Source organism: Homo sapiens, chromosome 7, assembly GCF_000001405.40.
Source record: "Homo sapiens chromosome 7, GRCh38.p14 Primary Assembly".
Taxonomy (NCBI): Eukaryota; Metazoa; Chordata; class Mammalia; order Primates; family Hominidae; genus Homo; species Homo sapiens.
The window spans coordinates 10,720,658-10,748,450 of NC_000007.14; the positions used below are offsets into that span (position 1 = coordinate 10,720,658).

A 27,793-nucleotide genomic window follows, 5' to 3' on the forward strand; every position below is an offset into this window, starting at 1 on the left:
TAGCAACAACACACATTTACAAATTATGAAAAGAGCAAAATGCTCAGTCTGCACTGTTCAGCACAAAGAATTCCCAAAAGCTTCAGAGACATGTCCTTTTAATGAGAAACAATAGTTTTCAACCAGATGCTCCTCATCATTAAGAACACTTTAGCACCAGAAACAGGCACAAAAGGGGGCTACAAACCTAGCACTTTCAAAATAAAGACCTCTGTGGATAAGTGCACCTATTAATATAAATGATTTTGAACAGATTCAGCTTCTGCTCCAAGTCTATCAATTAACAGGAATAAAAATTATATTTCTATGCCATTCCATGAAAAAACAAGACATGAGGCATATCTGGAGACACCTAATTTTCTAACTGGGATCATATCTGTTGCATGACTATTAAAACAAAAAATATTCCCTTGAAAATACTGACACCTCTTAGCTTGATTTTACACTAGAGATAAAACGGCTAACATTCTTCAGATTTGCGGCTATTTTACTATTGAACAGGAGTAGCATAAATATGATTCCATTTAATAATAGAAATGAGAACATGAGCTTCCTAGTAAAGTTGCCATGAAAGAAACCTGAGTAAATGAACTAATAATACCACACTGTACTGATAGTTTTTCTCTCTTCATATTGTCTTCAAGAAATGGCAGTTTAATTGATACTTACCTATGAAATTGAAATCAAAATAAGTGTAATAATAATAAAGTATCATCTATCTACAATAATATCAAGGAATTTGACGTTAGACTGCGTTAAGTTAAAATTTCAGCTCTGCTACATGACCTTGAATATGCTACTTAACCTCTCTAAACCTCTGCTTTCTCATCTTTGAAGTGGGGACAGTAAAACGGTCCACATCATGGAGTTGTTGTGCAGATTAAATTAAGTAATCCCCATGCAGCCCTTAAGGTAGGCTCTGGCATTTCATAAGCCCTCAATATGTGAACTATTTTTCTTAACACCTATAATTTAAAGGCATCTTAGGAGAATTTGAGAACTGTCATCCAGGAATTTCACAAGGAATTTTACATTTGGGAATTGTGCTAGGTATTTTAAATATGTCCATAATATTTTTTAAAAATCGAATTCACTGTCTAAGCTATTTTTCCATGGATGTGCATTAATGCAAATTAGGCAGAATGACTTTTCCCAGTTATAATTGGGCTGAAATGAGGTGGAAGGAACAGAAAGACAATTAACTTTAGCTACTTTTTTTTAATCTCCAGCAGTTCGGAGTAGGTTTTAGTGCCTGATGGTTGTAGACTGTCAATGCTGCCAGGCGAAATTATTCAGAGACCTTCAAGGGGCTTTGTTTATCTCATTTTTCAATTAACCTCTGCGTTTTAACTTCATCATAATGCCTATGCCAATTCACACCAAAGAACAAATAAAAAATCCCCATTTGCTGTCATTATTTCTGTGCTTTACAAATCAAGTTTTATTTTTTCATTTTAATGCATAAAGAAAATACATGGAGGATGTAAAATTTAGGTTGCAAAAAAACCGGCAAAGTGGCAAATGATTTAATACAAATTAACTTTTGTATTAAGCTATTTCCCTTTCTTTTCTTTTTCTTTTTTCTTCACGTGAGGCAACAGTGAAGTTTAGCACTGCTGAGAGCAAAGATCAAAGTGTGCTTGAAGACCGGGATTGCTGTTTTCATCTTAGTTTGAGATTTCAGGGCCTACATCACTACACATATGATGAGATGAGGATCAGTTTTTCTCTTCCTAGAGCATCAATGTCAGTAGACGTAAATCTTAATCTGCATATCTCTTTCAAATATATGTTAATAGGACTAAAACACCTCACCTTTATTTTTATTAAGTCAGTACCAAGAAATAAACTGCTTTTTGAAAAGCACGTCCAGATTTTTTTACATCATTTAAAATAGCATTGAGATGTTAATCCTTAAATTGAAAAAAATCTCATCCAGACAATTAAAATCCCTTTGTAAAAAGTGCCAGCTGATGCAGATAATACACATCACTTTCTATTTTACTGCCCAGGAAAGAAAAAATATATAAAATTTGGTATGTTTCCTACATTTAAAAATCTTTAGAAGCATAAAATATGTTTAAAATGAGTAAGACTTTAGTGCCAAATATTATTTAGTCTATGATATTGAATGTCTAATGGGTTAATTATGTAAGATTTGTGCTAATCCGGCTATTTGAAAGCATTGAGGAAAAGACACAATCAAGAATGTGGGGTAAAGGTGCTTTTCAATGGACAATAGATGTCAACATTGTCTTAGTCTGCTGGGGCTGCTACAACAAAATACCAAAGAACTAGGTGTATTAAACAACAGAAATTTATTTCTCACAATTCTTGAGGCTGAGAAGTTCCACAGTGTGGGTGCTGGAAGATGTGGTTCCTGGTGAGGGTCTTCCTGGCTTGTAGGAAATTCTCCTTCTCTTCCTCTTCTTTTAAGAGCATTAATCCTATCATGAGGATCCCACCCTCATGACCTAATTAAAACCTAATCATCCCCAAAACTCCTCCTCCAAATAACGTCACACTGAAGGCTAGAGCTTCAATGTGTGAATTTGGAGGGGACAGAAACAGGCAGTACAAATTGGGGAAGCAATATGAAAATTATCCAGTGGGTAAAAATTAAAATATGAGTGTCTGGGGGTGACCAGGTAAACATGACCTGACAAGTGTGACTATTTCTTTCTGAGAATAAATATTGATGGGAGGCCCAGATGTGGTGGCTCACGTCTGTAATCCCAGCACTTTGGGAGGCCAAGGCGGGTGGATTACTGGAAGCCAGGAGTTTGAGACCAGCCTGGCCAACATGGCGAAACCCTGTCTCTACTAAAAATACAAAAACATTAGCCAGGCATGGTGGCACACACCTGTAATCCCAGCTTCTTGGGAGGCTGAGCCACAAGAACTGCTTCAACCCAGGAGGCAGAGGTTGCAGGAGCCAAGATCACACCACTGCACTCCAGCCTGGGTGACAGAATGAGACTCTGTCTGTCTGTCTGTCTGTCTGTCTCTCTCTCTCTCTCTCTTTCTCTCTCTTTCTCTTTCCCTCTCTCTCTCTCTCTCTCTCTCACATACACACACACACAAAATATGTGTGTGTGTGTGCATGTGTGTGTGTGTATGTACCATGTGGGACTAAGAAATTTCTTAATTATTTGCAAATCTCCTGCACTTAAATTATTTCTTTTTTCTCCAGTGACTGAAATAAAGAGTCAATTCATATTTTCACTGACCCAAGTCATGAGGTGACCTTGGAGCTCCCCGTGAACCAGCCCTGAGCCCTGACCTGAATGGATCACATCTCCATATGGGAAGTGAAATAGAAAGTCATTACAATGTTTTTCCTTTCAAGACATCAAACTGAAGCCAACATTTCAATATTTTTGCTTTGTCACTCTACATACCATTAAAGTAAGAGCTGGTCTGACTTTATCAATATTTCTTGTAGGACACTGAAACAACTATCAGTCAATAACACATTTTGATCATTTCAGGCCTGGGTTGAATATAAACCTGATGTGTAAAACTTACCAAATAAAACTCTTTATCTCTATATATTTGTGCCTATGAGCTAGACAGAAAAGAATTTATTTCATTCTTTGAAAGAAAAATGAAGCACCGCATAATCATACTAAATAAAGAATACATTTAATTTCAAAAGAAAAAAGAACTGAAAATTAGAAATGTAATTATAACAAATAAATATTGCAAAAGCCTGGGTAACCTCTTAAAAATATAAAATGTTGAAAACACAACACTAATTCAGAAAAAAATGTTCTGCATTCAAAAATGGTTAGCCTCCAGATCCTATACTTTAAAAGAATCATGAATTGTAACAGCAGTAGCCCCAAGGAAATTAATACAGCACTCTCTTTCATCTTTCTGGAGTTAACAAATTTTTCCTAACTTGTACAATTCAACTTATAACTGGGTCTAGTCAGAAAGATGTGCCAACTTCTGTGAAAATGTGTCTGAGCATATATGATGTCACAAAGTTTCCATTTGTTTCGAGACAGAGTGGCTGCCAAGGGATTATAAACTGTTCAGTCATGAATACTACAGATCTCACTTTCTAGATCACTGGACCCAGAGATGTGACCCACAGAGAATGATGAGGGTAGAAAAACAGAGACTCAACAACATTCTGGATGACATCAAACATTCTAGAATGGGAAAAGCCATCATTTCATCACTTGCAAAAAAAAAAAGTATAGGAAAAAACACACTTAACTTCATGTTATACTTCAGAAATATAAATATTTATTATTGACATAATTGATAGTATTTTTGGGTTTTAAGGGTACATGGAAAGTTGGCCAATCACAGAGAAAGGTTTCATGCTTCCCAAAATTGGTATACAGACATTTCAATGATATGTTTTAACAAATCATTTGGTTTTGAACAAAGCCAAAAATATGAATACATATTCCTCCATCCAAATATTCATTGATTTCCAAGGAAGTATTTTTACAGATTCATATAGTTTTCTAATTCTTGCCATGTACAGTTAGTGTGAAATTTTATAATAAAAGTATTTGTCTTCATCTGCTTTCTGCTGCTATAACAGAATACCACAAACTGAGTAATTCAGAAAGAAAAGAGATTTATTTGGCTCATAGTTCTGGAGGCTAGGAGGTCCAAGAGCATGGTGCCAGCCTCTGACTAGGATCATCCCATGGTGGAATGCAAAAGGCAGAGGTAAGCAAGGGAGACAAAGAGAAAAGAGGGTCCAGACTCTCTTAGTAACTAACCAACTCCCACAGGAATAGCATTAATTGCCTCCTAAAAGTCCCACTTCTCAACACTGTTACAATGGCAATTAAATTTCAACATGAGTTTTAGAGGGGACATTTAAACGATAGCAGTATTTCCATTGATAAATATAATGGTTCATATAAATATCCATCTAAAAATTTGTTTCATATTCCATATACAAACATTCTCATTAAAATAAGTTTCATGTTTCAATCACCCCAGCAGGGCACTGAAGAAGATGAAAAGAGAGCCTGATAATTAAAAGTGTGATTTCATAGTAAATTTCAATAGGTCTTCCAAAAGGATTATAGCATTGACTTCTAAGCTTCCTCTTAACATATACTGACAGTGATTTAGCAAACCCAAGACTGTTTTAAGAATTATCAGAATTAAAAAACAGAAAACAAAAGAGTAAATTCATCAGGCTTACCAACATAAATGTGCAAAGTAAATTCTTATATGACTACCATTGGAATTTAACCAATAATGTATATGCAAGATATTATCAGAACTATGCAGATTAATTTTTTTATTCATAATGACAAATACAACAGATACAATTCTACTCAACTGTGCTCACCTAAGAGGCATGATGAGTAATAAAGACAACTGCTGATAACATTTATTGTTTTAGTTTTTTGAGTTTGGGGTTTTTTGTTGTTGTTGTTTTGCTGGTAACATTTATTAAAATGAATACTTTTTCACTCAGTGCCATATCATTTCTCAAGTCACTGACTTTTGCAATATACGTTTTTGTTTCTCCCAATTTTATTAAACCTCATTTTATTTAAGAGACAATAAATGGGTCAATAAGAAATGGCTCATAGATGTAAATCAACACTTACTGTACAGTTGCAACCAGATTTATAAGTAAATCCTTACAATGTCCTATAATTCTTTAGGGTGATAATGGTCTACACAGAGTTCTGTAGAGCTTAAAGCAGAAATTGAACTCATCAGAAAGGAGTCAAGGCACACTGGGAGCCATGTGGAAAAGTGAAAGGACTTCACTCAAAGACAGGTAATAAGAGGATTTTCTTCAAGAGAACTACCACATGTCATCTAATATATGATGCCCTCAGGGCTAACATACACTATTACTTTATACATAAAGTAATGTGTTTCTATTTCTACTAAACAGAAATATATTAAATCTATTAAGTACTTTTTGGCTTGGTGCAATGGCTCATGCCTGTAATCCCAACACTTTGGGAGGCCAAGGTGAGTAGATCACTTGAGGTCAGGAGTTCAAGACCAGCCTCGCCAACATGGTGAAATCCCGTCTCTACTAAAAATACAAAAAAAAAAAAATTAGCCGAGTGTGGTGGCAGGTGCCTGTAGTCCCAGCTACTCTGGAGGCTGAGGCAGGAGAATCACTTGAACCCGGGAGGCAGAGGTTGTAGTGAGCCGAGATCACACCACTGCACTCCAGTCTGGGTGACACAGTAAGACTCCGTCTCAAAAAAAAAAAAAGAAAGTACTTTTTAAAGTTGCCAGTCGTAATTGTAAAATGGCATGAATTTAATATGTATTCCTATTTCAGAGTCAGCAAAATGTGAAAAATATTAATCACAGTGTCATTTGTGTGAGGCATAGATGAGGGGCAATTATTGGAAGAGCTTAAAGATGTAAAGTTTGTGTATCAAAAAACAAAATTTACAAACAACAAAGCATAGGAGGTAGGCAAAGGGATTAGCGGTGTATATACCTGTTTGGGGATGAAGGAGAGAAGACAAGTCCCAGAGATTTTGAGGATGCGATTAAAAGTCAGAGTAGGTCATGTGGATGCTCTTGCATATTAAGAGGCATCACAGGGTAGGAAGGAGAGTAAGCATGGAGGTAATGATGTAACCTCACATTCTTATTGGAACACTGGGCTAAAGTTCTTTTTGTACCAGGCCAGGCTGGAATGTCTGGCCCAGGTTTAATAATTCCCACAGGCTTTCAATAGCCTGAAGTTGTAGAACCCAGCACAAGTTAAGATGCAGGGGTCACCATCCTGATGACTGTCTTAATTTGTGTCTGTCCATGGTCTTTGTTAAGATTTCAAAGAAAACATAGGTAGTGAGCTGCCATAGAAGTTGTATATCTCTGGGTGCAGAGATTCATTCATATGCTAAATGTTTAAGTAAACATTATATTAAAGTGTTAGCAATAAAATCTTTCCTCTTTAATATTCATTCAAAGTTCCCACTGACCTTAAAGTAGAATTAAATACAGCACAGCTGTCCTGAGAGAATTAATCATTTCTTTATCACTAGTCAGGAATCATTTTCCCAAATGCCAACTCTTGCCCTCTAATAATTCACTTCTACCTGCTGTGGATCCGTGGTTGTGTGCCCAAGCTCTCTCCTTGACCTCAGCAGAATGAGTTGGCTGCAGTGCAGGCTGTCCTTGAAGACCACCTGGGAGCCTCAGGTTGTGCCCAATGCGGCAGCCTGTCAGAAACGGTCTACTGCCAGCGCAGAGCAGGGAACACCTGTGCCTCACAGTCTGCACTGGCCACTCTTCCACTCCCAAGTGTCTTTTAAGATACAGGTCAAGACTTTCTCCAATCATAATTTACGTAGTGATATTTCTCAGTTCATCTTGTCCCCACTGCACCATCAATGTGGAGTGAGGATTTCGGAATTGAGTGAAGGAAATAAAACATTAGGGCACAAGTCAAGCTTTCTTTAGTTCCCAAAGTACCATTTGTATGACTAGAATTTTGTTCTCTGACCCTACAACCCGCAGTATCCCACTTGTTATAAAAGTGTCCCCAAACATACATACACACAACCTATGCATGCACACCATATAAACAATTTATCTTGTACCACATCTGGTATAATTGAGCTGATTGAGACTGAACAACCAATTCCACAAATATTTCTTTAGTTTTCAATTTGTACTTGGCACTGTGCTAGATGCTGGGGCTAAAGACATGATCCCTGCCTTCAAGTAGGTCACATTCTAAAGGGAAAGACAAACCACAGTTTCTTATATTTAATAAAACATAAAGCATAGTACCTGATAGATAGTTGTTTAACCCACCTCCCTTCCCTCCACCCACTAGTAGTTCACAGTATCTATTGTTCCCATATTTATGTCCATGTGTGCTCAATGCTTAGCTCACTACCAGGGTGGTGGGATCCTTACTCCAAACCTCGGCATCATGAAACATTCCTATGTAAGAAATCTGCTCATGTACTCCCGTATCAAAAATAAAAGCTGAAATTTTTCTGGGAAAAAAAAACGTAAAGCAGATAAAGAAATGCTAATATCTACAAAATTTTTTTCCCAAGTCACACTTTTAAAAGATCTTTCCATTCATCTATTGTCAAAAATAGAGTTCATAAATGGAAGATGTTTCTATTATTCTAAACCTGGTTCAAGACTTCACTCCCTCACTTTCCTTGATTAATTTCACCTCCACTTACTGTTTCATTTAATGTGAAATCAAGACACCCATTTTCAAAACATCTCAAAAATATTTCTTGCTTTAGAAATACTTTAATATTTTCCTTTATATTCTGCTCCGAGTAGATTTAAGAAAAGAATCATGCCTGTCATGACGTTTTCTGTATTCCAAGCATAATGAGATCACAGTAAATGTCAATTGCCCGGTGATTCTGCTGGATGGTCCCATTTTACCAACTGTGACAGTCACCTACTGGCTTCTCATTTATATGTAAGCAAGAGTTTTTTGTAAAAACTCCTAGACTTTTGGTAGCACAGCTAAGAAGATTATTAATTGGAAGTTTATTTGGGTGCCTGTATCATGTAAGTGTATTTACTTGTTTCAAAAATGTGAAGGCTCAGAGCTTAGGTCATTTTTTATTGATATTGCTCAGGTGATATACATAAATCACAATGTTAGGAACAAAATCACCTGTACTTCAGAATTTCCTTTTTATCTATAGGAGAAGTTTGAATAACGCATAGTACTATTTTTATTCATAGATGCATAAAAATTCAATTGTGTTTTTAAAATCTGACTGGCTAATCTTGAGGTATTTATGAGATTATTATGACAAACCACAGTATTTTATTTTAATATAAATACTGCCTCCAAAGTAGTTATTTCATTTTAACTACCACCAATGTAGGAAATAGGAGTCTGTTTATAAAAAAAAATTTGGTTTTTGTTGAATAGTTTATATGAAACTAGAAAAGTATAATATAAAAACAAATTATTGATTGGCATTTGCAAAGTATTTCTAGCTGAGTTTTAAAATTAATAAGGAGCACATTAAGATATTGGATCATTTGAAAAATTGGAGTCAAAAAACCAAAGGCCTGGATTTCATACCTAATAGTGGTAATGCTTGAATAAGTCATTTAAATTTTCTTGTATGTCAGTCTCCTCGTCTATAAAATGAAGCTGACACTACCCCAATGAACAGGGTTTTTGTAAGATTTTAAGAACAGAAAACATTTGAGTGCTTAGTATGTATTATCAACCCTTTTAAGCATTTTAGATGTATTAACTCAATTCTCCCAATTATACTAAGAGGTAAGTGCTACTATTACCTTCATTTTATCAATGAGAAACCGAAAGCCTTTAAAGGTTAAGTGGCCCACCTCAGGGTACCAGGGCTCTCTTCCTAACTCACTGCCAGAGAACAAGATTACAGAGTCATAGCCATGAGCTCTGCTTACAGTGCAAAGTAAAGGGCTGAAATCAGCTTAAATGACTTCTCAATCATCAATTAAAAGAAACTTGGATAAATAATAGCTTACTTTCCTCTACTGAAATGTGTTTCTAAAGGTATAGTTCCCCTCTTCCTGCTGATTAAAACCACAAGCAAATGCATGACACAAGTACTCTAAAAGGTAGAATGTCTTTTCTACAACCATTGTAAGAAATATGCAGTTGGTGAAAAGCCAAAATCTAAGAAAAGATATCAAATTCATACTATAGAAACACAATTTTTTTTTTTTTGAGACAGAGTCTCATTCTGTCACCAGGCTGGAGTGCAATGGCACAATCTCGGCTCACTGCAACCTCCTGCCTCCCGAGTAGCTGAGATTACAGGCACGCACCACCACGCCCAGCTAATTTTTGTATTTTTAGTAGGGACGGGGTTACACCATGTTGGCCAAGATGGTTTCAATCTCCTGACCTCGTGATCTGCCCACCTCAGCCTCCCAAAGTGCTGGGATTACAAGCATGAGCTACCACGCCCGGCCAAAACACAATTTCTTTAATACTCTCAGCCTCATATGTTTACGCCTATGAACAGAAAATTGTCAAAATGCATAATAGGGAAATGAAAATTCCAAAAGTATGAAAGAATATTATTCATTCTGGGATTAATAAGGTAAATCATTTAGTATGTGTTATTTGCAAACAGACAGAAATTCCAAAAATAAATTCCTCACCCCAGATATTCTCCTTTGTTTTTAGTAGCTGCTAGAACATGCCCTGAAGATCTCTGTGTAACTAAATATTCCATTCTTGTCTTAGCCAGAGAGGATTTGTCTGCAGTCTCTAAAGTCCTTTTAGAGAACACCCAGAAAATAATATAAAATAAGGTAAAAAGCATGCAGCACCTGCCACAGAATAAGAGCTTGCCTTGTATGTGCAGTATTGAAGTTGATGACTCCTTCTGGCTTCCCAGCCTCTGAATTCTGTATTCATTTTTTTTCAGCTCTCAAGACTAGACATTGCCCTTCCTGAATATACCTCTAGGCCTCTTCTGACTAGACCTATTCTCATGCCCCTGTAGCCTAATACACACATAGAGCCTAATAATTTATATGACTCTATTGAGAGGCATGGAATCATGAGATCTGTTTCAGCTTTGGTGTAAATGATTAAAAAAAAAAAAAAAAGACAGCCCTGAGCCAATTGTGATATGATAGGTAGAGAATAGGGACACGAAATGTTAAAACTAGTGGTTTCAAGACATAAACCCTAAAGGATAAGAGAAGAAACATTGATATGGTTTGGATGGTTGTCCTCTCCAAATTTCATGTTGAAAAGTAATCTTCAATGTTGGAGGTGGGGCCTGGTGGGAGATGATTAGCTCATGGGGGTGGATCCCTCACGAATGATTTAGCACAATCCTCTTGGTGATAAGTGAGTTCTCACTCACTTAATGTGAGATCTCATTTAAAAGTCTACCCCTACACCACCACCTGGCTCTCTTGCTCCCTCTCTCGCCATGCGACATGGCTGCTTCACCTTCACCTTCTGCCATGATTGCAAACTTCCTGAGTCCCTCACCAGGGTCACATGCTAAATTACCCAGCCTCAGGTATTTCTTTGTAGCAACACAAGAATGCCTAACACAAATACTATTTTTTTAACCACACATATTCTGACATTTTGAGTTTTCTTTGGGAAATTGCTGGATAAATCCAGAAATATACTGAAGATATCTCTGTGCTGATTCCCTGTTCCAAGTATCGTTATTTCCTACCTATTCTGTTTTCCTCTCTGGATAGAATACACTTGAGTCTCAACTCAACTCTATACAACTCTACACAACTCTGTACAACTCAAGTATATTCTATCACAACTATGGTTAATATATCCCCAAAGCCACTTTCAAATATGAGGAGCATCTGGGCTACTTTTGCCAGCACTGGGATGAAAGAAAGCAAATCATAACTGTTAGTATCACCTCCAAAATAGCTCAGTGAAGAAATATGGAAATATGAAAGGAACTTACTAATAATATTCATGAGTTGGTTTTACCCAAAGACAATATATTCTATACAATGATATAGAATACTAGCATACAAACTGAAGAACTCAATATCTTTAGTGGTATATTTTGCCATTCAAATCTAGGGCCAAGAACTCTAGATAATTGTTAAGTAATTTTAAAGAGAAAACATATATTACAAATTATATAAAAATGGATGTACCTAGAGTGTTAATAGTTATTCCTTGATAGTCTTTCTCTTAAAAATATTCTGATTAGGGCAGCTTAAAACTAATCCCCCTTTCACTGATCTTGGCAGAGGATTTTTAGCAAGTAATTTTATTTAAATTACTACACAGAATTAATCCTTTTCATTGCTTAAGGCAAAAAGGAAACCAGAGAAAAATAAAGACTATAAACTGGGGTTGAGATAGTTACATCGAATTATTTCTTTCTTAATTGAAACAACTGAACGAAGTATTTTGCATTATAAGTAAATCCTTCCTCTACATTTATTTTGCTTCTTTCTAATGGAATAAAAGTCATGTATTTACAAGGCAGGTATAAAATACTAGTTGTATGACTGAGTGAAAATTTACTCTCATTTCCAGAATGCATAAAACTAAGATGCTTGTATCAACCAAAATTAAAGGTAATAGAAAAACATCATGAATGATTTTTTCTCCTTTTGTGAATTCAGGAGAAAATCCTGAATTATGCCTGTCTTTGCAAGTTTGGCAAAATCTAACTTTCACAATGCTGCCAATAGGCTAATCATTGAAGCTTTACATGCTGTTTTTCTCAATTCTAAAATTCTTTAGAAAACAAACAAAAAAAAACCATAAATAATGAGGAAAAAAAATGAGCTCTCATAGCCCAAGATGGTGGTTGTCAACGAGTATGTGATAGAATAAAGGAAGTGAAAGAGAAGCAATAAAGCACATATGTACATTATCTTTAAGGACGTTTCATCACATTTCTACTTAAATACCACTGGCCAGACCTGAGTTAGAAAATCATTCAATAACAAGGTAAACTGGGAAATGCACTCCACGTTAGGTTATGCTGAGCCAAAAATTGAGGGCTCTATCACAGAAGGAGCACCTATCAATCAGCAGGCTCTGACAAACTCTGCCTCTTTCATCACTCACGGATTTACTCTTCCCATACATGGAACTCATCCTGCCCCTCTCCAAGGGACCCAGTGCCAAAGTCCTATCCAATTTCAGCAACCGGCTCAAAGTCTAGGATGTCTGGGTGATGTGATGCATCAAGTCTGGATATGATAGCTCATGGCCCAGCAACTTACAAAATAAAATACAAAGCCAGATAGTATGGTTCACATCTGTAATCCTAGCTACTCGGGAGGTTGAGGCAGGAGGATCACTTGAGCCCTGGAGTTCAAGTCCAGCCTGGGCAACATAGTAAGAACCCCATCTCGAAAGGAGAAAAGAAAATACAAGATAAAATACAAATTATTTGGCCTTTCATGGTATTCAACGGTGAAGCAATAATTGGCTTTCCCCGCTAGAAAAAGCAGAAAATTGGAAGTTCATTGCAGTCCCTTGTACTTTACAATTATCAAAACCTGCTGACCAGGAATTATGAAGACTCCCTTTTTTGAGTAGGTAATCTAGCAAGTTTGGTTTTGCTTTCTGGGGGCAACATCCTTGTCCAATGTCTTGGACCTCAATTCTTCCTTTTGGGAGCTTCTTCCTGCTGTATTATGTCCCATGTTCACATGTAAGGTAGGCATTAGAGTTTACGCTTTAGGGTGGCTGTGTAGATTTCACAGCCTGCTTCCTGCTGATGCAGCTTAGTGTATCTGAGGATTTTATTAGAGATAGAACAATTATAAGCTTTTGCAGTCCCATCTTGTTAATTAAGATGGAGATGTGCAAAGGTCAGCATTTACAGTTCCCTCAAAGAGTATTCACTTTGAGTCAATTCCAAGTACAAATGACTAGACCCAAAAATCTTATCTAGGCATAGTTTTTAGGCCCAAGGAATTTGTTTTTTAATTACTAGGCTCTAGTCCTGCCCATTTCTCTCTCTTCCATTGCCAGACCATGAGGTTATTACCTTGGGGATATTTTTAAAAGTCAGTGTATTAGTCTTCTCAGGCTGTCATAACAAAATACTGCATATTTGGTGGCTTAAAACAACAGAAATTTATTTTCTCACAGTTCCGGAGGCTGGAAGTTCAGGATCAGGTGTCAGCAGGGTTGGTTTCTGACGGGTACCCTCTCTTCTAGCTTACAGATAGTCACCATCTTGCTGTATCCTCACGTCTGTGTATACACATGGAGAAAATGAGATTTCTGGTATTTCTGCCTCTTCTTTTAAAGACATCAGTTCTATAGGATTAGGGTCCTACCCTTATGACCTCATTTAACTTTGATTAGCTCCTTAAAGGTCCAATCTCCAAATATCATATACTGGAGGTTAGGGCTTCAATATATGGATTTATGGAAAGGGAAGTACAATTTACTTCATCATTGTAGGCTTGAGAGAAAAGGCAGTACTTTTGATCTGATCTTTGCCACTAGTTTTGCCATCACAGTTGGCTTGGAAATTGCTTTACCTTCTGCTAAAGTTGCTGCTTTGTTTGGGGTTATAGAATCAGTCAGCTATTTCAACCCTGCAAGTTTTTAAATATCAAACTCTTCGTCAGTTTGTATTCCAGCTGGAGGCAGAGATGGTTGAGCTCAGCATAGTAATATTACCTTTATCTCTGCTTGCAGCCTGGACAACTCTACCCCCAAGTAATATCTCACTTCTACAGCCTTGTTGAAAGCAGTAACAACAACAAAAACAAAACCCAACATTTTGAATTATTCTTACCATTTTCTCTTTTTAAAGTTTATCCTCACCAGGCACACGGACTACCTTCTAAGAGACCTTTGGGGATGGTGTTCTTAAATGTTTGCAATGACAAAATAGGGGTCACCAGACTTCTAATCTGCAATGAGTTCTGTTACCTGGCCACTTAGACTAATCCAACACCAAAAGTTGATTGTGGCATCCCATTTCTAAGAACACTTGAATTAATATTAGATTCCGCTATGAGTGACAGAAGACTCAAAATAACAGCAGATTTTAAAGGGCAACAATCTTCTTTCTCATCTAACCTCCTGGTGTATGGTCCTGGACTGGTTGGGTACGCCACAGGGTCTGGTACCCAGACTCCCTCTATCTTGTTGCCACCAACTCTTAGTGTTCTGGATTTTGTTTATTGACAACTAGAGCACGTTTTCACCTCCTTATCACAGTGGTCAGAAAGCAGATGAATATACTTTCTAGATTCCCTACCAGCTACGGTTTAGGAGGTAATGTTGGTTGTGTCAATGAGAGGCATTCATGAGAGATTTGGAAGGCAGAAGAGAGGTAAATACTCCCTTCTTATAACAGTGGATACAGTGGTGGCTTTCAAGCAATTTCTAACAGAAGCCACATTCTAAACACTAGTCTTTTGTGGCATGAGGCAGCCAAGGGGACAGCAGAGTGGACAAGAGCTGCAGCAGCTGCCTGACCTCCACCTCACAGGGACAGTGATTGATCTTAATGCCAATTGACCTGTGGCAGTTCTCTGGTTTCCATTCTTCCAGCCCTTATGATTATTTTGTAAGTACCTAATTCACTGCATTACATCCTTTCTGCTTCGGCTACCTAGACTGGTTTCCATTTCCTTAACTGAATGCCGGCTGATATACCTATCATGTTTTCTTTATCCACATGCTTGAAGTTGAAGATAATTCACTGCTCCCATACCTATCTTTCCCTCTGCAGATAGGAGAGAAAGGTAGTAGAAAGCAAGAAGTTTCCTCTCAAGGGTATGACCTGGAAGTAACACACATAATTTCACTAGGACTCTATAGAACACAGTCCCATGGTCACCCTGAGATGCAAAGAAGGCAGAAGAGTAGACACCAGCAGGGCAAACACATGATCACTAAAACTTGTGGAAGTTAATTGCTAAAAGGAAGAAGAGAAAAATTGGATATTGGGGGGACAATTAGCAGTCTCTATCACAGATCCCCTCAATACATCACCCACTTTCAATAACAAAGCAATCATGGTTGTTAATTAAGGAAAGGCATTGAAAAGAAGGGTTAGAGCCAAAACCAGACAATGTGAAAGTGTTACCATTTCAGTAGTAGCCAATCACAGACCAGAAACAGGAAAAGGTCATTTTGTCATAAATTTAATTCTATCAATAAAACTGACTTAAATTATTGAATTTCTTTACTCATATTCTGGTCCTTTGAGACTTACTACAGCCTACCTTACACACTTTTGAGTGGCATTTAGGAAAGTAATACATTTCAGTTTTCTTCTCATTAGGCCAGCCTTCCTTATGTTCTCAGAACACTAATCACTGAGGTCTTCATTTGGGACAGAAAATTCAGTACTATATACGTTCAGATATTTTATTTTCTTAAGAGATTTTTATTATGACCCATAGTCATAACCTTTATTATTTTTTGTGGGCCTCCTTTTGAAGTGATTCTGTTTGAAACAGTCAGGCCCCAATTAGGAAATATTTTCTTTGCTTCAGAGAAGGTGGTGGCATTTTCAAAGCTCTAAGCTTAGCACCTTAAAGAGTTTGGACAGAGAGCAGCACTTGAATCCTATAATTATACTGTGTTTTGGAGCATGGATTATGACAGGTGTGCAAGCAGGACCAACTAATGAGAGAGTTGGCAAAACAGTTGAATTTTCATATAATTCACTGGTCAAAAGCTAATCATTAACAGTAATAACAACGGGTCTTTAGGAAGACTAGAGCTTCGATTATGGCTCAAAGTAATATTTCCTATCAGAATTTCAGGCACATTTTAATACACTAGCTGCAATGTTTTATCCAATCTTTTGGCTTTTATTTTACCTAGAAAATATCTCATATAATTCTGCCACATTTGTAATCACAGAACAGTTGATATTGTAGAACCTTAAAGACCGTCTTGTTCAGCCTCCCATTCAGGAAGGAATTTACCTCTAATGACCCCTACACACCTCGTTGAGCTCCCAAAAAACTGGTGCTTCAGCCTGCTCTCTGAAAAACTAGAAGAGTAGAACCTATCTCAAAGGTTAAGAGAATTATTTAGTTCATATTTATAAAACCCTTAGAAAGTATTAAATACTAAATAAATATTTACTAAATCCAAAAACTACTCAAGAGAAAGAACTGTGGATCCAAAGGAATGACACATAGAAGGGGAGTTTCTGTGCCATTTAGAGAGCTCTTGTTAGAATATTTTCCTCTGAGGACTTGAATTTGGTTCTCACTCTTCCTTAGCAGCAGCACAGGCTTTATGCCCCTTCAGTTCTCCAAGCACCAACCACTGCGGTAGCTGTTTCTATTTCCTTAGGACCAAAATTAAACTATCAAGTAAGTGCATGAGATATCTATCAGACATATAAGCAGTTGATGTGCTCTCAAAGGAATGCGGATAGCTATATTTGTTCATTTTGAATAGATTTTTCACTGATTATCAATCCAAACTCAGATCATGTCAGTTCTCTATTCAAATTTACTTAGGGTAAAAGCCAAAATCCTTACAAGACCCAACAAAATATGGCCCCTTTACACCTCTTTGATTTCTCTCACTAAGCTTCTCTTGCCCTTCCTGCCACATCAACCTCACCTATTCCACTCACAGTCACCAAATGCACTGGAATCTTCTGTAGTTCCGACATATCAATCAGACTCCCAACTCAAGACTTTTGCCATTGCCCTTTTTTCACCTAGAACATCCAGCCATAAACCCCTATATTTGCATGGCACTTTCTCACCTTCTTCAGCTCTTTCCTTAAAATGAGGCCTTCTCTGGCCACCATATATGAAATAGATCCAACCTGCTAAAATTTCCATCCCCAGTACTCCTTATCCCTCTTACTACACTGTATTTTCTTCTACAGCAATTATCATCAAACATACTTCATTATGTACTTGTTTATCTGTTCGTTCTCTGCACAACCATCTCTACACCCTGCCTCACAATACTATGTAAGCTCCATGAGGATAATAACTTTGGTCACTGGAATATCCCCAGCCTTGTATATTGTAGATGCCTAATAATATCTATTGAATGAGTAAACAGATGAATAAATAACTAATATTCATATATGCCTAGCATATATATAAGCATACTTATTGGACTCAGTTTTTTCTCCATTAATTCAGCCATGTGTTCAAGGCTGCCAGTATTCCTAGTTTGGGCAGGGGCCTCCAATATTTAACAACTGAACCAACAAAGCTTTCTGAATGTGATCATTCTCAGCACTGACCTAGTCATGGTGTCCATAAGGTTCCCAGAGCCCCATGTGCCCCCAAATCACCTGTGACCTCTCTCTTTCATTTCTAATTCAATAAGCCCTTCAAACCAAAAGGCTATATTATACGCTTAAGATAAAGACAGTCACCTAAAGGAGGAAAAAGTAAAGAAAAAAATATATATCTCATTTGAGGGGGGAAGGCATCAATTTTATCTTTGTATACCCAACTTAAATGCAACCTCTAAAACAAGTATGCACTCAAGTTTTTATATACAAGACAGTATAATAGTGCTTAGAGCTTTGCTTATCTAATACTGTAGCCACTAGCCACTTATGACTATTAAAATTTAAATTAAAATAACTCTTCAGTTTTTCTAGTAATAGTTCAAGTGCACCAAAGCCCCATGCAGCTAGTGGTTACTGTGTAAGACAGCACAGATATAGAACATTTCCATCATCACAGAAAGTTCTATTGGACAGCACTGGGCTAAAGGATACAGTGACCAATTAATTATTACTGGATAGCATCCTGTAGAAAGGCCTTAGTTTACATGCCAGTCTCCAGACATGTCCAGTGCCAGCTTGACAATCTAAGTGGGACTTCAGAAAGGTTACATGACCTCACTGAGACTCATTTTCCTGAGGTGTTATGAGGATTATATGATGCTATTTATTTAAAGTGATTAGGATAGAGTTTGGTACATAATACATAATCAATATTTACTAATATTATTGTTGCTATTATTAACAAAAGCTAAAATAGTCATTTATTTATACTTCATAGTATAAATAACACTTTAGGCTATGAAGCCTGTGCAATATTTTCTTAGGTACGTGTAAGATGCACAAACAACATGGAGGTGGTTGGAAAGGAGGCCAGATGAAGGTGAAAAGAACCCGGCCAGGAGCGGTGGTGGCTCATGCCTGTAATACCAGCACTTTGGGAGGCTGAGGAGGGTGGATCACCTGAGGTCAGGAGATCAAGACCAGCCTGGCCAACATGGTGAAACCCCGTCTCTACTAAAAATACAAAAATTAGCTGGGCATGGTGGCAGGCGCCTGCAATCCCACCTACGTGGGAGGCTGAGGCAGGAAAATCGCTTGAACCCAGGAGGCGGAGGGTGCAGTGAACCAAATTCATGCTATTGCACTCCAGCCTGGGGGAGGACAAAAGCAAGACTCCATTAAAGAAAAAAAAAAAAAAAAAACTTTAAATGGACTGTAGTGAGAAGTGGCCAACTATCACATTCCTCTCACAAAGTGACTCACTCTTCTTCTGAAATGAAATCAGACTTTGAGGAAAAAGTTAAACTCCTCCTAGGCAAATTATCTGTGATTGTGGAGAAGCAACAGAAAAGAAAATAAGCAGATTACATGATAGAAAGTATATCAGTAACATACTGAATAGCTGGTATCTATCTCTACTCAGCAAAAGAGAACTATCTGTTGAGTTCTGGAGGATTCGAAGTTCAGAAAAAAAAATAGCAGTGGCTGATACGTTCTCATGTGTGCACACAGAAAACTGGCAGGAAATAGGCTTTTTTCAGGTACTCTTAGTCATTTAATCAGTAAAATCTGGTGCTAGTCCTCATAAACATTGGATTGTGCAGAGCATCATTGTATAATGCCCTCCAAAGGGTGAGTTCAGACAATAAACTGTCTTCAGGTGAGTCCAAGAGAGACCCATTATATTCATCAAATACTTAATTGAGTGACTGCGATGTGCCTGTTGGTGTTTGAGATATGGGAACAACATATTAGTGAACAAAACCAAAATCTCTACCCTCGTTGAGCCTGCATCCTAGCAATCCTACGTAGTTCCATTTTCAGTGAAGTTATACTTACCAAAGAAGATTAGTTTATTTACAAAGTAAAAGTGACTAAGAGATTTAAGAATAGTAGGTTTAAAATGGTAAATATATTTAAAACTGTTTATACTAATGACACAAGAGGAAAATATCAATGCAATCAAACTGTTTTTTCATATGCCTCTGTTATTTAGAGCTGATACTTATTTAAAAATCTCATAGACTTCTTTCTCTAAAAATAGAAAATATTAAGGAAGATTAAAATAACTTGTCCTTCATTTAATAGCAACAAACAATAAATAAAGCTTACAAGTTAGAATTTTTCTTTTATCTCGAAGCATAAATTGGGAGACCTACATAATCCTCTTTCTGTTTTCTCATGTAAGTAATTGTGAAGGGGCAACTCCAGATATCTCACGGCCAATTTAATTTTTGGCTATCTGGCATAATTTTAGGAAAGTGAATATTCAAGTAAAAAATTTCTTAGGTTATTTTATCACATGCAACTCTATCACTCATATTCTAATTATTTCTACATTTTTATTTTATCACTAGAATATATAGGACAATATGAATCAATGATCTATCCATATGTTCATTATTATAACTTCTGGTATATCAAATGTATAAGATGAACTTTACTTAGACATAAAATTCATAAATTTCAAGACTGATTCTTTAGAGATTGCTTTTTTAGTATTCATTAGCTTTTAATTTAACCTTTTCCTACAAGCTGCTCAAACCCACAGAAATCATTAGCTATTGCTACATGATACTGTAAAACAACTAACCTCAAAACCTCAGTGGTATAAAACAATAAACATTGTTTTTGTTTTTAATACTCTTGAGTTTCAGGTCAGCTAGAAGAGCTCTGCTTCATGTGTTTCTCCCTCATCGTGGGCTAGCAGGCTCCTGGGGGTGGTACAAGCTCAAGAGAGCAAGCTGGCACATGTCAAGGCTTATCTGCCAATGCAAGGGAAAAGAAGGTGCACACTAGCCACTGTGAGGTTGGGGAAGGACAACAGTAAAGTCTCCTTGGCAAAGCTATGGATCTAGAAAGAGGTAAAGAACTGGACTAAATAATTCAATCTACTGAGATTAGATCTGGAACATAGTCTGCATATGATGAAATGAGCACAGCTTCCATCTCTGAAAATGTCAGAGGTTTATATATTCCATATCAAGACAGCCTCAACAATCTCAAAAATATCTATGATGAGGACAACTTGGTGAGAGGGAGTGTATACATCACTATGAATTTATCACAAATTAGGAAATGTTTTCACATGGTAATGACAATTTATACATTTCAAAAGAAACTGTTTGGTCCTCATAGCTACAGATTTTATTATTGCTATAAGTTAAAGTGGCTACCTAATGGTTTTGAAAAGAGAACTACAGCATTCAGTGTTCAGTAAGGTCCAGGCACTGCAAAGTTTAAAAGTAACTTCAAATTTCCATTAAAAAATAAAACCCTGGAGGTGGCCGGCCTGATGGCCGAATAGGAACAGCTCCGGTCTTCAGCTCCCAGTGAGATCAATGCAGAAGGTGGGTGATTTCTGCATTTCGAACTGAGGTACTCATCTCATCTCATTAGGACTGGTTAGACAGTGGGTGCAGCCCATGGCGAGCCGAAGCAGGGTGGGGCACTGCCTTACACAGGAAGCACAAGGGGTCGGGAAACTCCCTCCCCTAGCCAAGGGAAGCTGTGAGGGACTGTGCAGTGAGGAAAGGTGCGCTTCTTTCCTCATGCCCAGATACTACATTTTTCCCATGGTCTTTGCAACCTGCAGGCTAGGAGATTCCCTCGGGTGCCTACAGAATCAAGGCCCTGCGTTTCAAGCACAAAACTGGGCGGCCATTTGGGCAGACACCAAGCTAGCTGCAGGAGTTTTTTCTCATACCCCAGAGGCACCCAGAACGTGAACGAAACAGAACCGCTCACTCCCCTGAAAAAGTGGCCGAAGCCAGGGAGCCAAGCGGTCTAGCTCAGTGGATTCCACCCCAAAGGAGCCCAGCAAGCTAAGATCCACTGGCTTGAAATTCTTGCTGCCAGCACAGCAGTCTGAAGTCGACCTGGGATGCTAGAGCTTGGTAAGGGTAGGGGTATCTGCCATTACTGAGGCTTGAGTAGGCGGTTTTCCCCTCACAGTGTAAAAAAAGCCTCCAGGAAGTGTGAACAGGGGAGAGTCCATCGCAGCTCAGCAAAGCCGCTGGAGCCAGATTGCCTCTCTAGATTCCTCCTCTCTGGGCAGGGCATCTCTGAAAGAAAGACACCAGCTCCAGTCAGGGGCTAATAGATAAAACTCCCACCTCCCTGGGACAGAGCACCTGGGGGAAGGGGCGGCTGTGGGTGCAGCTGCAGCAGACTTAAATGTTCCTGCCTGCTGGCTCTGAAGAGAGCAGCAGGTCTCCCAGAACAGCGCTGAAGCTCTGCTAAGGGACAGACTACCTCCTCAAGTGGGTCCCTGACCCCCGTGCCTGCTGACTGGGAGACACCTCCCAGCAGGGGTCGACAGACACCTCATACAGGACACCTCTAGCTGGCATCTGGAGGATGCCCCCCTGGGATGAAGCTTCCAGAGGAAAGAACAGGAAGCAATCTTTGCTGTTCTGCAGCCTCTGCTGGTGATACCCAGGCAAACAGGGTCTGGAGTGGACGTCCAGCAAACTCCAGGAGACCTGCAGCAGAGGGGCCTGTCAGAAGCAAAACTAACAAACAGAAAGAAATAGCATCAACATAAACAAAAAGATGTCTAAACAAAAACCCCATCCAAAGATCACCAACATCAAAGAACAAAGGTAGATAAATCCACAAAGATGAGGAAAAAACAGTGCAAAAAGGCTGAAAATTCCAAAAACAAAAACGCCTCTTCTCTGCCAAAGGATCACAACTCCTTGCCAGCAAGAGAACAAAACTGGATGGAGAATGAGTTTGATGAATTGACAGAAGTAGGCTTCAGAAGGTGGGTAAAAACAAATGCCTCCCAGCTAAAGGAGCATGTTTTAACCCAATGCAAGGAAGCTAAGAACCTTAAAAAAGAGAAGAGAAAATGCTAACTAGAATAACCAGCTAAGAGAAGAACATAAATGACCTGATGGAGCTGAAAAGCACATCACGGAACTTCGTGAAGCATACACAAGTATGAATAGCCGAATTGATGAACACGAAGAAAGGAGATCAGAGATTGAAGATCAACTTAATGAAATAAAGCGTGAAGACAAGATTAGAGAAAAAAATAATAAAAAGGAATGAACAAAGCCTCCAAGAGATATGGGACTATGTGAAAAGACCAAATCTACATCTGATTGGCATACCTGAAAGTCATGGGGAGAATGGAACCAAGTTGGAAAACACTCTTCAGGATATTATCCAGGAGAACTTCCCCAACCTAGCAAGACAGGCCAACATTCAAATTCAGGAAATACAGAGAAAACCATAAAGATACTCCTTGAGAAGAGCAACCCAAGACACATAATCATCAAATTCACCAAGGCTGAAATGAAGGAAAAAATGTTAAGGGCAGCCACAGAGAAAGGTTGGGTTACCCACAAAGGGACACTCATCAGACTAATAGCAGAACTCTCTGCAGAAACCCTACAAGACAGAAGACAGTGGGGGCCAATAGTCAACATTCTTAAAGAAAAGAATTTTCAACCCAGAATTTCATTTCCAGCCACACTAAGCTTCATAAGTGAAGGAGAAATAAAATCCTTGACAGACAAGCAAATGCTGAGAGATTTTGTCACCACCAGGCCTGCCTTACAAGAGGGCCTGAAGGAAGCACTAAACATGGAAAGGAATAACCGGTACCAGGCAATGCAAAAACATACCAAATTGCAAAGAACATCGACACCATGAAGAAACTGCATCAACTAATGGGCAAAATAACCAGCTAGCATCATAATGACAGGATCAAATTCACACATAACAATATTAAGCTTAAACGTAAATGGGTTACCTTAAAAGACACAGATTGGAAAACTGGATAAAGAGTCAAGACTCATTGCTGTGCTGTATTTAGGTGACGCATCTCACGTGCAGAGACACACATAGGCTCAAAATAAAGGGAAGAGGAATACCTAGCAAGCAAAAAAAAAAAAAAAACCAGGAGTTGCAATCCTAGTCTCTGATAAAACAGACTTTAAACCAACAAAGATCAAAAAAGACAAAGAAGGGAATTACATAATGGTAAAGGGATCAATGCAACAAGAAGAGCTAACTATCCTAAGTATACATGTACCCAACACAGGAGCACCCAGATTCATAAAGCAAGTTCTTAGAGACCTACAAGGAGACTTAGACTGCCACACAATAATAGTGGAAGACTTTAACCACCCATTGTCAATATTAGACAGATCAACAAGACAGAAAATTATAAAGGATATTCAGGACTTGAACTCAGCTCTGGACCAAACAAACCTAATAGACATCTACAGAACTCTCCACCCCAAAACAACAGAATATAGATTCTTCTCAGCACCTCATTGCACTAATTCTAAAATAGACCAAATAATTGGAAGTAAAACACTCCTCAGTAAATGCAAAAGAATGGAAATCATAACAGTCTCTCAGACCACAGTGCAATCAAATTAGAACTCAGGGTTAAGAAACTCACTCAAAACTGCACAACTACATGGAAACTGAACAATCTGCTCCTGAATGCCTACTGGGTAAATAATGTAATTAAGGCAGAAATAAATAAGTTTTTTCAAACCAATGAGAACAAAGATACAATGTAGCAGAATCTCTGGGACACAGCTAAAGCAGCATTTAGAGGGAAACTTATAGCACTAAATGCCCACAGGAGAAAGCAGGAAAGATCTAAATCGACACCCTAACATCACAATCAAAAGAACTAGACAAGCAAGAGCAAGCAAATTCAAAAGTTAGCAGAAGACAAGAAATAACTAAGATCAGAGCAGAACTGAAGGAGATAGAGACACAAAAAAACCCATCAAAAAAATCAATGAATCAAGGGCTGGTATTTTGAAAAGATTAACAAAATAGATAGACCGCTAGCCAGACTAATAAAGAAGAAGAGAGAGAAGAATCAAATAGACACAATAAAAAATGATAAAGGAGTATCACCACTGATCACACAGAAATAAAAACTACCATCAGAGAATAATATAAATACCTCTATGCAAATAAACTAGAAAATCTGGAAGAAATGGATAAATTCCTTGACACATACACCCTCCCAAGACTAAACCAGAAAGAAGTTGAATACCAGAATAGACAAATAACAACTTCTGAAACTGAGGCAATAATTAACAGCCTACCAATCAAAGCCCAGAACCAGATGGATTCACAACCAAATTCTACCAGAGGTACAAAGAGGAGCTGGTACCATTTCTTCTGAAACTATTCCAAACAATAGAAAAACAGGGAGTCCTCCCTAACTCATTTTATGAGGCCAGCATCATCTTGATTACCAAAACCCGGCAGAGACACAACAACAACAACAACAAAATTTCAGGCCAATATCCCTGATTAACACCAATGCAAAAATCCTCAATAAAATACTGGCAAACTGAATCCAGCAGCACATCAAAAAGCTTATCCACCACAATCAAGTCGGCTTCATCCCTGGGATGAAAGGCTGGTTCAACATACACAAACCAAGAAACGTAATCCATCACATAAACAGAATCAATGACAAAAACCACATGGTTATCTCAATAGATGCAGAAAAGGCCTCTGACAAAATTCAACACTGCTTCATTCTAAAAACACTCAATAAACTACATTATCGATGGAATGTATCTCAAAATAATAAGAGCTATTTATGACAAACCCACAGCCAATATCATACTGAATGGGCAAAAACTGGAAGCATTCCATTTGAAAACAGGCACAAGACAAGGATGCCCTCTCTCACCACTCCTATACAATATAGTATCGGAAGTTCTGGCCAAGGCAATCAGGCAAGAGAAAGAAATAAAGTGCATTCAAATAGGAAGAGGGGAAGTCAAATTGTCTCTGTTTGAAGATGACATGATTGTATATTTAGAAAACCCCATCGTCTCAGCCCCAAGTCTCCTTAAGCTGATAAACAACTTCAGCAAAGTCTCAGAATACAAACTCAATGTGCAAAAATCACAAGTATTGCTATACACCAATAATACACAGAGAGCCAAATCATGAGTGAACTCCCATTCACAACTGCCAGTAAGAGAATAAAATACCTAAGAATACAACTTACAAGGGATGTGAAAGACCTCTTCAAGGAAAACTACAAACCACTGTCAAGGAAATAAGAGAGGACATAAACAAATGGAAAAACATTCCCTGCTCATGGATAGGAAGAACCAGTATGGTGAAAATGGCCATACTGGCCAAAGTAATTAATAGACTCAATGCTACTCCCATCAATCCACCCTTGACTTTCTTCAAAGAATTATAAAAAACTACTTTGAATTTCATAAGGAACCAAAAAAGAGCATGTATAGCCAAGACAATCCTGGGCAAGAAAAACAAAGTGGGAGGCAACATGCTATCTGACCTCAAAACTATACTACAAGGCTACAGTAACCAAAACAGCATGGTACTGGTACCAAAACAGATATATAGACCAATGGAACAGAACAGAGGCCTCAGAAATAATGTCACACATCTACAACCATCTGATCTCTGACAAAACTGACAAAAACAAGCAATGGGGAAAGGATTCCCTATTTAATAAATGGTGTTGGGAAAACTGGCTAGCCATATGCAGAAAACTGAAACTGGACCCCTTCCTTACAACTTATACAAAAATTAACTCAAGATGGATTAAAGACTTAAACGTAAGACCTAAAATCATAAAAACCCTAGAAGAAAACCTAGGCAATACCATTCAGGAACACAGGCCTATGGGCAAAGACTTCATGACAAAAACACCAAAAGCAATGGCAACAAAAGCCAGAATTGACAAACGGGATCTAATTAAACTGAAGAGTTGGCTTGGGTTCCAAGATGGCAGAATAGGAACAGCTCCAGTCTGCAGCTCCCAGCGTGAGCGACACAGAAGACGGGTGATTTCTGCATTTCCAACTGAGGTAGTGGGTTCATCCCACTGGGATTTGTTGGACAGTGGGTGCAGCCCACGGAGTGTGAGCTGAAGCAGGGCAGGCATCGCCTCACCTGAGAAGTGCAAGGGTTCAGGGAATTCCCTTTCCTAGCCAAGTAAAGCCATGACAGACAACGGTACGTGGAAAATCGGGACACTCCCACCCTAATACTGCGCTTTTCCAACAGTCTTAGCAAACAGCACAACAGGAGATTATACCCCATGCCTGGCTCAGAGGGTACCATGCCCACAGAGCCTTGCTCACTGCTAGCACAGCAGTCCAAGATCAAACTGCAAGGCGGCAGCGAGGCTGGGGGAGGGGCATCCGCCATTGCTGAGGTTTGAGTAGGTAAACAAAGTGGCCGGAAGCTCAAACTGGGTGAAGCCCACTGCAGCTCAACAAGGCCTGCCTGCCTCTGTAGACTCCACCTCTGGCGGCAGGGCATAGGTGAACAAAAGGCAGCAGAAACTTCTGCAGACTTAAATGTCCCTGTCTGACAGCTTTGAGGAGAGTAGTGGTTCTCCCAGCATGGAGTTTGAGCTCTCAGAACACACAGACCGCCTTCTTAAGTGGGTCCCTAACCCCCAAGTAGCCTAACTGGAAGACACCGCCCAGTAGGGGCTGACTGACACCTCATTCAGCCGGGTGCCCCTCTGAGATGAAGCTTTTAGAGGAAGGATGAGGCAGCAACATTTGCTGTTCTGCAATATTTGCTGTTCTGCACCCTCCACTGGTTATACCCAGGCAAACGGGGACTGGAGTTCACCTCCAGCAAACTCCAAAAGACGTGCAGCTGAGGGTCCTGAGTGTTAGAAGGAAAACTAACAAACAGAAAGGAATAGCATCAACATCAACAAAAAGGACATCCACACCAAAACCCCATCTGTAGGTCACCATCATCAAAGACCAAAGGTAGATAAAACAACAAAGATGGGGAGGAACCACAGCAGAAAAGCTGAAAATTCTAAAAATCAGAGCTCTTCTTCTCCTTCAAAGGAACACGGCTCCTAACCAGCAACAGAACAGAGCTGGACGGAGAATGACTTTGACGAGTTGACAGAAGTAGGCTTCAGAAGATCAGTAATAACAAACTTCTCCGAGCTAAAGGAGGATGTTCAAACCCATCAAAAGAAGCTAAAACCTTGGAAAAAGATAAGACAAATGGCGAACTAGAATAAACAGTGTAGAGAAGACCTTAAATGACCTCATGGAGCTGAAAGCCACGGCAAGAGAACTACATGATGCATACACAAGCTTCAG

General features: G+C 38.6%; 1 long non-coding RNA gene across 1 annotated transcript in view, besides 2 other annotated features; it reads right to left on the minus strand.

The window, feature by feature from the left end:
• MGC4859 (uncharacterized LOC79150) overlaps positions 1 to 27,793 on the minus strand; it is a 330,125-nt gene that overhangs the window by 270,838 nt on the left and 31,494 nt on the right. The gene's annotated exons all lie outside the window — the stretch shown is intronic.
• Positions 2,786 to 2,982: a silencer, noted in NCBI's record as "fragment chr7:10763070-10763266 (GRCh37/hg19 assembly coordinates)". NCBI's record gives its function as "represses an EF-1alpha promoter that drives an FKBP-Casp9 reporter gene in an ReSE screen in HepG2 liver carcinoma cells {active_cell/tissue: HepG2}" and the evidence as "EXISTENCE:reporter gene assay evidence [ECO:0000049][PMID:32094911]".
• Positions 21,515 to 22,014: an enhancer, noted in NCBI's record as "H3K27ac hESC enhancer chr7:10781799-10782298 (GRCh37/hg19 assembly coordinates)". NCBI's record gives its function as "activates a minimal SCP1, AML or CMV promoter by ChIP-STARR-seq in primed H9 embryonic stem cells {active_cell/tissue: H9 hESC(primed)}" and the evidence as "EXISTENCE:reporter gene assay evidence [ECO:0000049][PMID:30033119]".